Source organism: Homo sapiens, chromosome 4 (assembly GCF_000001405.40).
Source record: "Homo sapiens chromosome 4, GRCh38.p14 Primary Assembly".
NCBI classification, from domain to species: domain Eukaryota; kingdom Metazoa; phylum Chordata; class Mammalia; order Primates; family Hominidae; genus Homo; species Homo sapiens.
In genome coordinates, this window is record NC_000004.12 from 87030048 (window position 1) to 87045134 (window position 15087).

The 15087-nt window shown below is 42.1% G+C and overlaps 1 protein-coding gene across 13 annotated transcripts in view, besides 5 other annotated features; it reads left to right on the forward strand.

Moving 5' to 3' along the window:
• AFF1 (ALF transcription elongation factor 1) overlaps window positions 1-15087 on the forward strand; it is a 206029-nt gene that overhangs the window by 95037 nt on the left and 95905 nt on the right. The window lies entirely within an intron of this gene.
• Window positions 3893-4394: an enhancer, noted in NCBI's record as "NANOG hESC enhancer chr4:87955092-87955593 (GRCh37/hg19 assembly coordinates)". NCBI's record gives its function as "activates a minimal SCP1, AML or CMV promoter by ChIP-STARR-seq in primed H9 embryonic stem cells {active_cell/tissue: H9 hESC(primed)}" and the evidence as "EXISTENCE:reporter gene assay evidence [ECO:0000049][PMID:30033119]".
• Window positions 6901-7401: an enhancer, noted in NCBI's record as "H3K4me1 hESC enhancer chr4:87958100-87958600 (GRCh37/hg19 assembly coordinates)". NCBI's record gives its function as "activates a minimal SCP1, AML or CMV promoter by ChIP-STARR-seq in naive H9 embryonic stem cells {active_cell/tissue: H9 hESC(naive)}" and the evidence as "EXISTENCE:reporter gene assay evidence [ECO:0000049][PMID:30033119]".
• Window positions 7402-7902: an enhancer, noted in NCBI's record as "H3K4me1 hESC enhancer chr4:87958601-87959101 (GRCh37/hg19 assembly coordinates)". NCBI's record gives its function as "activates a minimal SCP1, AML or CMV promoter by ChIP-STARR-seq in naive H9 embryonic stem cells {active_cell/tissue: H9 hESC(naive)}" and the evidence as "EXISTENCE:reporter gene assay evidence [ECO:0000049][PMID:30033119]".
• Window positions 8888-9037: a silencer, noted in NCBI's record as "silent region_15554". NCBI's record gives its function as "represses an Ori minimal core promoter by ATAC-STARR-seq in GM12878 lymphoblastoid cells {active_cell/tissue: GM12878}" and the evidence as "EXISTENCE:reporter gene assay evidence [ECO:0000049][PMID:35858748]".
• Window positions 9056-9807: an enhancer, noted in NCBI's record as "NANOG-H3K27ac hESC enhancer chr4:87960255-87961006 (GRCh37/hg19 assembly coordinates)". NCBI's record gives its function as "activates a minimal SCP1, AML or CMV promoter by ChIP-STARR-seq in naive H9 embryonic stem cells {active_cell/tissue: H9 hESC(naive)}" and the evidence as "EXISTENCE:reporter gene assay evidence [ECO:0000049][PMID:30033119]".

Genomic DNA, 15087 nt, shown 5'->3' on the forward strand with positions numbered 1-15087 from the left:
GAGAAATTGCTGTCACTGAAAGACTGTATATTTTACAAGAAGTTATTTCAGAAGCAGTCTCTATTCCTTTAGGCTTTAAATGAACTTAAAAAAAAAAAAATCACCCCTTGTGTTTCTTACTAATTTAGGGACTAGTCCAGGGGTCAACAAACCTTTTCTGTGAAGGACCAGATGGTAAATATTTTAGGCTTTGCAGCCCACGCGGTTTATGTTGCACCTACTTAGCTCTGCTGTGGTGGGACCAAAGCATCCATAAACAATACGTAAGCAGATGAGGATCACTATGTTCCAATGAATCTTTATTTACAAAAATAGGTAGCTGGTCCAGATTTGGCCCATGAGCCATAGTTTGCCAATCCCTGGACTAGCCCATCCTTTTATTTCTTGCTAACTTTAAGGAACATTTTAAAGTTGAAATTTAAAGATTGGCCAGTGTTAAATATGAATGGTTAAAAAAATTCTCCCCCCTTTGCCGCTGGCAGTCTTACCCTTCTTTAATTTTACTTACAAGTCTGAAACACTGGTCTAAGCATGTCAGGAAATAAGCGAACAGTTTGGGGGTGGGAGTATGCAACTAAATATTCGTTTAAAACTTACACTGAGCTTTTTTTTTTTTCTTCCCCGTTCCATTTCACATTGTTAATGTTGGCTCAGCAAACAGAATGATATGTGGAAGTCTTGAAAACAGTGTAAAATCATTTGAATTAGGAGGTTAGGCCAGACTTCACAGCAAAGCTCTGTGTAACCAGCGTCCTGGTACTCTGTGCAGACCCAGTGCTGAGTGACTCGCATTCCCAAGATTGAGCCTCTTTTGGGCAATGAGGAGCAAAAGGGGTCTGGGAATGGTGATCGGTTTTGTTTGTGTGATCATCTGAGGCCCCAGTTGAGTGCATTTGCATTCTAAACTCCCACATCCACACTCGGTTCATTTCCCGAAAACTGACAGTTTTCCACGTGCACAGTAATTTGAGATCGTTGTTTCAGGCTGAGGAAAGCCCACAGGCCGTTGTCTGGGGTGGGGGTAGGAGGGTATTGCAGGCTCTGAAAGATAATTGAGGCACTCCAGACCAGTGGAGTGGGTGGCTGCAAGACGTTATCGTCCCCACAGAGTATCAGGCATGCTTTCGGACCCATCCTGTGAGAAATCTGAGTGGAGTAAGACGGATGCAAACACCCTATGGTGAATGATCACTCCCCTACAAACTTAAGTGCTGTCTTGGGGCGGAGGCCTCTTTCTCTCTTGGAAACTTCTGCTCATCATTCAAGATTCAGCTCAGATGTCCCTGTTCTTAATTAATTAAATCACCCCAGGCTCCTCCATTTAGAGTTCCTGTTTTTCTCCTTAGTCCTTTAGCACTTGTAATCAACCTCTACTATCACTCTTAGCATATGTTTTTTTTTTTTTCTTTTGTTCCTCCTCCTTCATTTGTGTATCTCGCTAAATTGTGGAATCCCTCACCTTTTTATCCCTAGGTCTAGCACATAAGAGGAAGTCAATGTTTACTGGAAATCAGGGGCTTTTCTGTTCTCATTCTGTGAGGCTTACAACCTTGAAGTACAGAAAGCCATAGATAAATGCATTCCTGTTCTCAACTTTGACGTAAATAATATTCAAAATACAATTCTGTTTTGAAGAAATTATTTTATAAACAGGTCTTATAAAATATAAATTGTCACAGTGTATCTGGTGGTAATGTTGAATGTTTCCTTATTGTTTACTTGCAGTGGATATATTAGTGTCTGCTTTTCAGAGAGTAGAAATGGAAACTTTACAGCCTTATCAAGAACTTAACATTATTAAGGACTCTAAAAATTCTCAAGTGTATGTCTTTCTTAATTACTTGAACTCTCAGATTCTAATTTTTAGCGTTGGCTGAAGGTTAGAGGGATGCTTTAAGATTGATAAATACCTTTTGTTTTATGCAAGTGAACTGCCTATTGGTAGTGATGGTGAAAAGATGATATATTCTGCATATAAATGTTGATAGCTGAGCCAAAATCCAGCCCAAAGAATCCTGACAAGCTTTGTAAGGCTCACAACACGGCTTAGCAGAGGTCAAATGAAGGGAGACTTCTGCAGAAAAACAATGACTTACTGTTTAGCTTTAAGGAGATGCCAATTATAGCGGGTAGTAGGAGGTGAGCTGGGGTTATGATGAAAATGAGAATATTTAGAAACATGTAACTGTTGCTTGTTACCATATAAAATACCAATAGATGTTTCCAGCTTTCTTCTCCTATAATAATCTCCCTGTTCTTCCTACTTGAAATGTCTGTGGAATGAAATGGAACAAAATGAAACTGCCTCTAGTTTTTATGACATTAAGCTTTCTTTCTGTAGAAACGAGTGTGGCGTGTGTAATTAAATAACCAAAGGGAAAGATAACCAAGATCAAGATATAAACAAAAGCGCTGATGGTTCTTTAAAAGCATTTGTATGGACAACTTATTCCTCCTTTTTTTGTTGTTGCTGTCTGCTTTGTGTAATATGCAAATAAGGTTAGGTATCTGCTTTGTAGTCCATGTGTTGTTTGCTAGGAGCCTAGAAAAAACTTCTCAGTTGTAGGAATTTTGTCTCTTTTTATGAATGTGTCCACAGCAGCCTGTTTAAAATGTAATTGACAGTGGTTTCTCCTTGTAGCAGTTGTTGATTGGGGGGTTGGAGGATCCTTGACATTTAATTTTGGATATACTCTCCCATGATAGAATGAGCTTGAAGTGGAGAGTGGAGGAGCCCTACAATTTTTTTTTGGTTTATTCAGTAATTGAAAAATGTGTTGATGGGTTCCTGTGTACTCAGTTCAACAATAAATGTTTCAAGCTGTGTGCAGGGGCTCACACCTGTAGTTCCAGCATTTTAGGAGGCCAAGGCAAGAGGATTGCTTGAGGCCAGGAGTTTGAGACCGACCTAGGCAACAAAGCAAGACCCCATCTCTACAAAAATACTTAAAAATTAGCTGGGCATGATGGTGCATGCCTGTAGTCCCAGCTACTCAGGAGGCTGAGGTGGGAGGATCCCTTGAGCCCAGAAGTTGGAGGCTGCAGCGAGCCATGATTGTGCCACTGCACTGGGTGATAGTGAGACCCTGTCTCAAAAAACAAAACAAGAATAAATGTTTTTTCTTTAGAGAAATAAATTGCATCTTGCCAGTTTCCTTAATATCCTGTTGTTCCCCACTGTTCTTATCAATACACAGACACTTTTCCTTTCATTTTCCAAGTGTAAGCCTTTTCCTGTTGCTTTTTGCTGCTGGTTAGCAAGTCTAAATGCTGAGCATTTGTTCTGGCTGAAGCTGTGCTTGGTACATTGGCCCAGTTTCAAAGGTTTTTCTTATTGTATGTGGTGCAATTGGTTCTCTGGAATGTGTGCGTTAGAAGTTCAGTGACTGGGAGGGACTCTTCCTTTTGGAATGGTAAATCCTGTCCTGTGTTCCAAGCTGTTCTATAGAATGTACCTCATTCAGTTTGGTGTATGTTTGGGATTTTCTGGTGCTTAAATTAAGTAACAGTATATTCACTTAGTACATTTGATCTCTTATGGGCTGTAGAAGTTAGTTGTTTCTTAAAACCAAATTTGCTCCTGAATAATTTGAGAGAAGAGGTGCCTTTTAAAATCACCTTGGGGACGTTTCAGCAGTTTCTTCTTGAGGCAAGATGAATTTGGGAATAATTTGTTTTTCTTGTTTTCTGTGTGGGACTTGAAAATTTGATGTTTTAATCAGTTTAGAGAATGTTCTTCATAACTGCCTGTTTTTTTTTAAATGTTATTATTAAATGGTTAACTTCAAAATTTATTTAAAAAAACTATTGAGTCTCTGGATCTGTATGTAGAGTTAGATGTGCAAAATCTCACTCAACCAATATTCATATGACCTGATGGGTTAGTGCTGGGTAAATAGGATCAAGCGGGAAGGGGTGACTGACCTGCAGCCACATGCATTCTTCCTTGGGATGGGTGCAGGGAGTCAGATGATGACGGAACAGATGAGTGAGTAGGCAGGATCATTTTAGATGGGGATTGAAAGGTGAAGTGCTGGAGAGCACCTCTGGTGGCGGGGACTGGCTGAGGAGCCGATAGTTATAACCTGAGATATTAGTGGAGAGAGAGCGAGTCTTCCTCAGCTTTAGGCACAGAGCATGCAAACGGGGATTAGCGATGCACAGCTTGACCTGCTCCAGGCATGAAAAGGCAGCCAGTCTGGCTAGTATTCCAGGGAGGATAGGGGGAGGAAGGATGCTAGATCTCGGAAGTGTGCTGGGAATGGGGCCTTGTTGGCCAGGCTTCTGGATTTTAACTTTGAATGCTATAGCAAACCTGTGGAGGGCTTTCAGCAGTGGAAGGACCGCTTAATTTGCCTTGCATTTAAAATTCTCTCTCTGGATCCTGTATTTTCTTGTGTTGTTCCCCATGATGTATTTATAGCAGCATGGAGAGATTTGTTTATTGTCCAAGTTTTCATCCTAGAGGTAGCTTTCTAAAATTATTCTGAATCTGTTGATTTAAAACTAAATGTGTATTTTCTCTAAGTGTTACCCAAACGTAGTACCTTTTCTTTTACTGTAGAGCACTTGGGGTTTTATGACTAATTAATAAGTATGGTAAACTGAAGAATAAAACATGTAACATTAACTGATTAACACGTGGTGTTAGCTGAGGCAACTCTCTTGGTCCATCTAAGAAAGGGTGTTGTCAGCCTGCCTTCTAGGTTTGATTCATTTGATGGGTAAAAGAATTTGGTAAAATCAGTTTTAGGTATCAATGAGTCACATTTTGTCGTTAGATAATAAATAGACTGGCAGAATTCAGCAGAATTCTGAATCATTGGAAATTGAGTAATGCTTGAATATAATTATTTCAGTCAAAGATATGTATTAAGCATCGCATTTATTAAGCGCTGTGCTGGGTAAGGAACCCTCGGAATAGTCTGTGCCCTTAAGGAGAAGCTCACAGTCTAATAAGGAAAATCTGTAGGCACACATATATAAAGTCTATCTAGTTTGGGTAAATATAAACGTAGACAGCCTAGGTATCCCAGAAATGGAGGCAGGGATACTGAGGAAGACTTTTGAAAGGCAACAGTTAGAGACCAGGCAGGGAGAAGATCTGTGCTTCCCAGAGCCTCCCTGCTCCTTGTGCTTGAAGGGTAGAAAGTGAGGCAGAACGCAGGAAGGGTGCTCTTACCTGGGAGGGCTGAGGCTGGCAGAAGTACTGCTTGAAATACTCACCCAGGAGGCCTGGCATGGTGGCTCACATCTGTAATCCCAGCACTTTGGGAGGCCGAGGAGGGCAGATCACGAGGTCAGGAGATCGAGACCATCCTGGCTAACATGGTGAAACCCCATCTCTACTAAAAATAAAAAAAATTAGCTGGGTGTGGTGGCGGGCGCCTGTAGTCCCAGCTACTCAGGAGGTTGAGGCAGGAGAATGATGTGAACCCGGGAGGCGGAGCTTGCAGTGAGCGGAGATCGCGCCACTGCACTCCAGCCTCGGCGACAGAGCAAGACTCCGTCCCAAGGAAAAAAAAAAAATACTCAGGAGCTTTAGTCCTGTAGGCACCAGGGCTCCCAGAAAGGTTTTAGGTAGGTGAATAACAAGATCAGGTTTATGATTTTTAGAAAAATCAGTGACGCAGCTTTGTGGAGATGGACAACCCAGAAAGAGGAGCCTCTCGGGGCCACATTCCAAATGAGAAGTGAAGTCCATTTTATTTGAATGTTGGATGCTTCATAGATTTAATACCCAAAACATTTTTTAAAAGTTGGGGAATGAATTAAAGGAAGAAAGCATTAAGAAAAAGACTTTAAGCTTGCTTGTCTACATTCTTAGTTTGTAACTGTAGGATTTTTAATTTTTGTGGCTGTCATGAGAGACTTTCACCAGCCTCATTATTTTGCAGGTATGAGATGTGGTCCTTCAGGGTCAGTTGATAGTGTGACATGAGTGGCCTGGTAATGAGGCCAGCACTCTGGTTGATCCTAGTACAGACCAGAAGAGCAGGAGAAGAGCCAACACGTATCCACATTTCTGATTGGTGCCAAATGAGCAGTGCCAATGAGGCACTGTGCAGCTGTGCTCACCAGGGGCCTTTACAACTAAAGGGGAGACATAAATAACTAGTCAGGTGACAGACTTTATCTCAGGTTAAAAAAATTGGTTTATCTCTGTTGCCATTGTGGAGGGTAATTTCTGTATATCCCCTTGCTTGACTGCTGGTAAGCACTTGACATCAGTCTCAGGGACTGAATTTTCTGAAATTTGTCAGTAACATCAATACGCTGACATTGCATATAACATAAAGACATGTTTTATTAACCCCTAGCTGTAGATTGCCAGACTTTTGAGGTGAGAAGTGATTTTTTTTCACTGGTGTGGTTTGTGTAATTGTTCTATATACGTGCTGGCCTTGCTCACTCAGTACTAGTTTTTTATTTTTAAAATATGTTTGGAAGATGAGAGGCTTGGTGTGCTGCACATGGGAATACATTAGCTCATCTGTCTCCTCTCCCTCTGTCATGCTACTTTTCTGTTGGAGCTATGTATGTCCAACCACACAGTTTTCCTTACTCCCTTAAAAACCAATTGATGAGGAAGACAAGTTCTTGTGTTTTTCTATCTGTAAGGTAAAAAATACCTCTCAAAATAGACTTATGAGATCTATTAAGAGAAACAAAATGGGTTATATTAACTACCCCAGTTAAGAAACATCAGCTACTGGTGTTTGAATGTTAGAACATATTCTCTAATATGGCAGCAAGTATCTGCTTTTTTTCTCTCTCTCCCCTCCCCCATCCCCCCTTTTTTTGAGACGGCTTCTTGCTCCATCGCTGAGGCTGGAGTGCAGGGTGTGACCTGGGCTCGCTGTAACCTCTGCCTCTCAGGCTCAAGTGATCCTCCCATCTCAGCTTCCCAAGTAGTTGGGACTACAGGAGTGTGCCACCATGCCCAGCTAATTTGAGATTCTGCTTTACGCAGATGGATCTAAAATTACTTGCTAACAGTCTAAGACTGAGTTCAGAACCCAAAATCAGTTTTCAGAGCTTCTAATGAGAGTTACTGCAAAAATGATTAACACTCCAGTATTTCTTTATCCCCAGTCTGATGTTGCTATAGTATATGAGGCTCTTTTAGTTTTTAATCAGAACTTTTATACAAATAATAGATGCTTTCTCATTGTGAAAAGAATTTAAAAACAACGTTAACAAAATGCTCCCCAAACCACATCACCACTTAACATTCTGCACCCTAATCCCATGCTGCTTGGTGGTAGGTTGTTTTTGTTTTGAGATGGAGTCTTGCTCTGTCACCCAGGCTGGAGTGCAGTGGCGCGTTCTCAGCTCACTGCAACCTCCACCTCCTGGGTTCAAGCAGTTCTCCTGAGTCAGCCTTCTGAGTAGCTGGGATTACAGGCACACACCACCACACCCGGCCAATGTTTTGTATTTTTAGTGGAGATGGGGTTTCACCATGTTCGCCAGGCTAGTCTTGAACTCCTGACCTCAAGTGATCTGCCCGCCTCGGCCTCCCAAAGTGCTGAGATTACAGGCATGAACCACTGCTCTCGGCCCTGCTTGGTAGGTTTTTGTGAAATGTATCCTTTCAGACCTTTGCTACATATTAATAGGCATACAGAAGTACCTGGCAAGTTCATTTTGAAAGGTAAATTAACATGTCTCTCCTTAGAATTGATGTGACTTTTTAGTCACGTTTGCCCAAGTGTAGAGTCGTTCTCAATTTAAAACTTGCAGGATGCATTTAAGATATGCAAAATATCTTACTGGCTCTGAGTCCTGGAGAGTGTTTATGATGGGTACCAAGAATGTAAATTTCACTGTCATGTATCACCCTCCTAGAGAATGGCAAGAAGTTATGTGGGCAGTGTTTTCAAGGTTGATTTAATTTTGCAAAATGGGGTCACATAAAACTTTAAAAATAAATACTATAATAAATTATAATAAGACTGAGCCTTCTGTGGCAAACAGAAGTGAGTAGCAGAGAGTGCTAATGCATTGAGATAATCCCCTGGGGGCTCTTCCAGGAAAACAACTGACATCGTGCTGTTTTGTCATTGTAGTTGGCTGATATTTTTAATATGAAATCAGATTGTAAGACTTTGTTTTAGGATTAAGTCTCTGATTACTTTCTTTATAAATTTTAAGAATGTTATTCATGTTAGTTATTGAGAGTGAAAACCCTGGGACGATTTAGCTGAGTGATTTTTATTATGAGAAAGTCTCTTACAAATTCTTTCACATGGATGGAGAGACGAAAAAAATCTCCCTTCTTTGAAGCAACATTTTATCCTGCCTTCAGACATGGAGTCACTTTGATTTCTCATGTTTAAATTGTATTTGGAAGTCAAACTAGTATTGTGCTTGGAGGTATGTTGATGCTTTTTCATAAAGCCAATGTGTGAAAAATGTTTCCCGCATGTTAGATGGTAGGAATAGGGGAATGTGGAAACAAAAGGCCAAAAGATGGACTTAGAAAGTTGAGATGTGGCTTTTAAAATGAAAAAGTCACTTACATGGTGTGGAAGAACCCTAGCATCCTGTCTTTTTGCCTCCCTGTTTGTGACAGATCTCTATCTCACCATCCTCTAAGCTGGGATTGCCGAACTTTTGTGTTTATTTGTTGCTCTATCCTTTGTACATTCAAATCAGAATGGCATAGTGCTTCTAAACAGTAATAAGACTTAATCCTTTCCAGAGTTAATGTACACTGTTGATTTTAGGATTTTCCCTTTCCTTCCTGCCAGATGTCTCCATCCTTATGAAGATAAATATATAGGAGAAATCACACTCTGTCATCCAAGAGAGAGTTAAAAATTTAAACTCGAATTCTAGAGAGTTGGTGACATGTATCAGAGGAAGGCCTATGTGAAGTGACCAGTCAAGGGTGATAAATGGGTAGTCAGCTGTGCACAGCCAGCCCTGTGGGCCGTGAGTTGCCATGGAAGCACCGAATGGCATTCAGCAATCCCGCATGACTAACCTAGTTTAGCAGCAGGGCCCATGGGCTCCAGCCTGGGAGAAGGTGCTTACAGCCAGATGATACCAGAGCCAACACACTGCCCCACGTCTCATGCCCAACTTGGGCCTTTCTGTTACTATCTTTTCCTCATCCACATATGCTATTTCCTTTTTTAGTGTGAAGGAAAGAGAAAAAGGAATCACTCTCACTAATCCTTACAGAGTTGTGATTTCTTACATTTTACCACAATATTTTAAACACATCCATCCCTACCCCCAAGAAGCATTTGAAAAGTCAGTAAATGTGCCCTGACAGGCCCCAGCATGGGGTTGACTAAATGACTGTATTGAGGGGCTGAACAGGCAGCTCTGAATTCCTCAGGATTTTCACCACCTTTCTGAAAGTGAGAGCATTCTGGCACGTTTTAGCTTTCCAAAGCTTCATTCAAGCTCTTGTGCTGAGTTAGTGGATTCGGTCAGTGAAACGTCTGTGGCACAGTCCCCCTTTCATGGCTTGAGTGTTTATGTTCTGCAGGTGAGTTTTCACATGTGACTGATCTCACCAGGCACTGGACACTGAAGCCTGTGGTTCTCCCCATTTCTAGTTCACTTAACTAAAATACAAATGTGGAGGAGGTGGCTTGATGAATTCTGTAGAGATCTTTTGATACATCAGGTTGAACCTCAAAGATGGTGGACAGTAGTATATGATCTGAAGGCAAGAACTTGGCTACTGAAAGGAGAATTATTTCCCTATTTAAATAGATTTTTGCAGACTTCCAGTAGAACTCATGGTGTCTGTGGAGTGGTCAGACTTTGCATCCTCCTTCCCAGGGGCACATCAGAGGCTCTGAAACAAGAATTGTAACACAGTTTTTATATTTATTTATTTATTTATTTTTGAGATGGAGTCTCGCTCTGTAGCCCAGGTTGAAGTGCAGTGGCGCGATCTCGGCTCACTGCAGCCGAGATCTAGCGATTCTCCTGCCTCAGCCTCCCAAGTAGCTGGGATTACAAGCACGTGCCACTACGCCCGGTTAATTTTTGTATTTTTAGTAGAGACAGGGTTTCGCCATGTGGGCCAGGCTGGTCTCAAACCCCTGACGACCTCAGGTGATCCTCCCACCTCGGCCTCCCAAAGTGCTGGGATTACAGATGTGAGCCACTGTGACCGGCCCACAGTTTTTATAACTGAAAGAGCAGCTTCATGCCATTGGCCATCCTTCTCTCAAAGGGGTCCTCTGTTAGGTCGTTCCTCAAGGACAGGCCTGTGTGGATCAGTTTAACCAAACATCAATTTTGTGGCTCTGAGATGACCCTGCTGGCGGAGATGATACTAAATTGTTGATGTGTACCTTTTTGAGACTAAAGAAATATGAGTGGTTATAAGTTAGCACACTTTAGCACACCTTCTTTGTCTTCACTGCTTTATTTAACGCAGCCTGACAGCTTTGCTAGCAGAACTGTGGCTGAGAGTATAAGCTTTCTTGCCAGGCATTGGTGAATGTTCAGGTCTACCATTTGTGAGCAAGTCAATCCCCTCACCCTTTTTTTTTTTTTTTAATTGAGACAGACTTTGACACTTGTTGCCCAGGCTGGAGTACAGTGGCGCAATCTCGGCTCACAGCAACAACCTCTGCCTTCCAGGTTCAAACAGTTCTCCTGCCTCAGCCTCCGTAGTAGCTGGGATTACAGGCGCCTGCCACCACACCCAGCTAATTTTTTGTATTTTTAGTAGAGACATAGGGTTTCACTATGTTGGCCAGGCTGGTCTCAAACTCCCAACCTCAGGCGATCCACCCTCCTCAGCCCCCCAAAGTGCTGGGATTACAGGCGTGAGCCACCATGCCCTGCTTTTTTTTTTTTTTTTTTTTTTGAGATGGAGTCTTGCTTTGTTACCTAGGCTGGAGTGCAGTGGCATGATCTCGGCTCAGTGCAACCTCTACCTCCCGGGTTCAAGTGATTCTCCTGCCTCAGCCTCCTGAGTAGCTGGGATTACAGGTGTGCGCCACCACGCCCAGCTAATATTTTGTATTTTTAGTAGCCACAGGGTTTCACCACGTTGGCCAAGCTGGTCTCGAACTCCTGACCTCAAGTGATCCGCCCACCTTGGCCTCCCAAATTGCTGAGATTACAGGCGTGAGCCACCCCACCTGGCCGCAAGTCAATCTCTGAGCTAGCTTTCGTTCAGTTGGAAAATGGGGTTAATAATCCCACTCTCACAGGGTTGTTGTGAAAATTAAATAGAAAACTGATGTGATAGTGCCAAAATCAGTGTTGACTAACATGTTAAGTGATGTCATTCCTTGGCCAGGCTGCTGCTGCTGTTATCATTGCTTTTGTATTTTGGTAAGCCCCAAAAAGGATGTGCTGTCTTTTACCCCTGGAGATCCCTTGGAAACTTGTTCAACATACAAGCCTTGGGGCCCATGTCAGGCCTACTGCCTTAGAAACTCTGTAGGTCTCTGTGATCTGTGTTTTGACAAACCCTCCAGCTAACTGACTCAGGTTTGAGAACCTCTTAGCTAATGCAAAGTACCATCTAAAATCAGCTAAGGAGAACTTGTAACTCACTATATTCTATTCGGAACAGTGGGAAAGAATGGCCAGGCTGATGTTGGGATACATTTTTCCTTAACACAGGACTGGAAAAAAAAAAAGACACCTTTATTAAAGTGACAGTTAACTTATAGTTATTGAAAGGTGATTATTGACAGCTGGGCGTGGTGGCTCACGCCTATAATCTCAACACTTTAGGAGACTGAGGTGGGTGGATCACTTGAGGTCAGGAGTTTGAGACCCGTGTGGCCAACTTGGTGAAACCCTGTCTCTACTAAAAATACAAAAATTAGCCAGGCGTGGTGTCGGGTGCATCTAATGCTATCTACTCGGGAGGCTGAGACAGGAGAATCACTTGAACCCAGGAGGCAGAGGTTGCAGTGAGCTGAGATCACTGCACTCCAGCCTGGGCGACAGAGCGAGACTCCATCTGGAAAAAAAAAAAAAAAAAAGTTGCTACAGAGTTTGTGAATCATGTAGGGTATTTGCCGCCTCCTAAAATTCCCTCATTAAAAAATTTTCCCATCTGCCCCTTCCTTGCTTACACCTTGGTTTAAACAGTGATGTGTATAGGCTCAACAAAGGTTTACTCATGGTATGAATAGTGGGTTTATTTTTAAAATTTCATATTCCTTTATCTCAAAATGGAACCAAGAAAAAGAAAATATTCACAAAAGATTTGCCTGGGAGCTTTTAACAGATCATTCCCTAAGCCATTGCAAATTTGCAGCAAGAAACCAGAAAGCTATTTAATGTGACTGGCAAAACAATTTAGTTGCAAGGAGAAAGGAGGCAACCCAGAGCAGGGGCTCAAAGCCTACCTCTACTCTGTGAACTTCCTGCCTCTTCGGTCTTCCTCTGCCCTGCCCAGGAGCTTTTGTGAGTTCCACCCAAGAGGGAGTTGTTGGACAGTGTGGGGAGAGCAAGTGTCTTTCACAAAGCCTGGACCTCATAAAACTCATCCTACCAGTGATATCCATGATGTCTTTTTTCACCTCACTACTTATAGGGCTTTTAGTTGAAGGGTGATGGTGAATCATAAAAAGAAAATTTGTCTCGAAATAGGTGTAGAATTACATGTCTGCCGATAAAATCTTAACGTGGGTTTAAAAAAATTTTTTTGACACTAATGAAGTAAAACCTTAATTAACTAGAATCCTTAATTTAATAGGATTTCCTCCCTGTGGGAGAATTCTTGATTTTAGAATCACATAGTAATAAACCAGTGTTAGGAATTCTGTGAAAGAATGGCTTAATTGTGTTCTTCTGGTTATTTCTGTGGCAATTTTCAGTATTTTGGAATGAAAATCTGGAAGTATGGGAGAAACCCAACTGATGCTGAAATAAGGCTAATACAAGGCTGAGTTGATTGATTTAAAAATATTTTAGTAATGTAACTTCGTTAAAGGAAAATTGAGTGTGTGGAATTGATGAGAAAATTGAGGACTCTGAGCAGCCTGTTAGTTGAGGTGTAACTGTTCACACCCTCCCTTTTGGATCCTGGACTGAGAATTGCCATTTGGAGTTCCCTTCTCTGAGACAAAGGTAGCATTTATTTAGAAGGGGCGGAGCTCTGCCCTGTGAAGCGGAGCCTAAGGCTGTGAACACTGACTGGCTATAGGGGCTCTGCTGTTTTAAGTGGCATATCAGAGAGGGGAGAACTCCCTTGGTGGTGAGAATAGCCAAGCAGACAAGCACATGCCCATGGTAAGCTTTCCCCACCCGCTCACCCATAGGCCTGTCTTGACTGCTGCAAGGTGCATGCACTGGATAGTTTGGGAGAATAGAAGCTTAGATGCTCAGAGGATGGTTGCCTGCTTAGCTCCTCCCTGCAAAAACTGGCTCAAAGTGGCTATAAAACAAGTTTGAAGGAAAAAGTGATTTCCTAATCAGCCTGCTTACTTGGCTTCTATGGTTATATGCTAATGGCATATGATCTTTTGAACCAACAAGAGGAATTACCAAAATGATAAAATAATTGAAGGAATTGAGTGTCATCAAGTCCAGTGTGCTACTGCCAACTGGAAGTAAGTTTAACTGAAACAGGTGAGACTCAGACTTCATTACAGAAGATTACACGACCAGTTTCTGGTTCAGCAGCTTCTTCTTTTCAGTATTTTGACTGGCATAAATTATTAACTTTGTGGTTTTAAGAGTTCTTTTAAAATCTGATATTGCAATATCCATCATCTAGGAAAAGTTTTTGATACACACAGGTCTAAGAAGATAATTTTTTCTTTCTTTCTTTCTTTTTTTTTTTGAGACGGAGTCTCGCGCTGTTGCCCCGGCTGGAGTACAGTGGTGCGATCTCAGCTCACTGCAGCCTCCGCCTCCTGGGTTCAAGCAGTTCTCCTGCCTCAGCCCCCAGAGTAGCTGGCACTACAGGCGCCTGCGACCACAGCCAGCTAATTTTTGTATTTTTAGTAGAGATAGGGTTCACCATGTTGGCCAGGATGGTCTCGATCTCTTGACCTCGTGATCCACCTGCCTTGGCCTCCCAAAGTGCTGGGATTACAGGTGTGAGCCACTGCGCCTGGCCTAAGGAGATAATTATTTACCACATTGTAGTGAATTCAGTCAGGCAGCTAATTTCTCTCCATACATCCTACTCCCATAGATTAAAAGGCTATAGAAATACTAGATTACTTTTTAGATGATTTTTTAAAATAATTTTTGCATGTGTCTTCCAGAGTTAAATCTTTTTTAAATAGTTGTAAGTTTGTAAAAATACGTAAGTGTAGTGGCTGTTTTTTAATCTAAAAGTATTTAATGATTAGCTTCTATGCAGAGTACCATGCTTTAGCACCAAGAGAGGTGCTAAATTTGCGAGGTTCGTTTCTGATGGAGTTCACATGCTAGGGGAGAAGGGAGGAGGAGAGAGAACTAATTGATGTGTTAGGTAAGCACATACTTGGTGGATTTGAGGAAGCCTTTAGAGTGAGTGACATTTGAATCATTCCAGAGATTTGCCAGAAGCTGAAAATTAAGGATGGGGGTGTGTGGTGGAGAGAGAAGCAGTGGAAATTTGTGGCTGGAATGAAAGCATCAAAGTCTAGGATATCACTGAGGAATGGGGAGTAGTCAGGTGTGACTGGAATGTAGAGGTAGTTTGTAAGAGAGTCATACTTCCTAGGGAAGCTGGCTCTGGAAGAATTGGTTATCTTTCAGTAAAGAGAGCCTGGTGGAAATTAGAGCAAGAGGCTGCCTTACAGGGTATGCTCAGGGGATGGACGTGACTGACTGACTGTCAAGTAGAATGCATGTGACAGGCCTGCAAGGGGACAGTAGATAATTTCTAGAGAGTAGATCTGCGTCAGATTATGGGGGAATTTTAATGCCAAAGCAAGAATTTAGAGTTTATTCTGCAGTAGTAAAGAGCCATCAAATGCTTGTTATTTTAAAATATGGATTGTGACATGAGAACCAGGGCCTTAAATCAGGTTTCTTTTCATGAGAAGGCTGAATTAAAGGGATAAGATGTGGGGGAGGCAGGGAGACCAGTAGGCTTTTGTCAAAGGAAATAAGAGAAGTCAGAAGAGGGCAAAGAGGCCAGGAAAG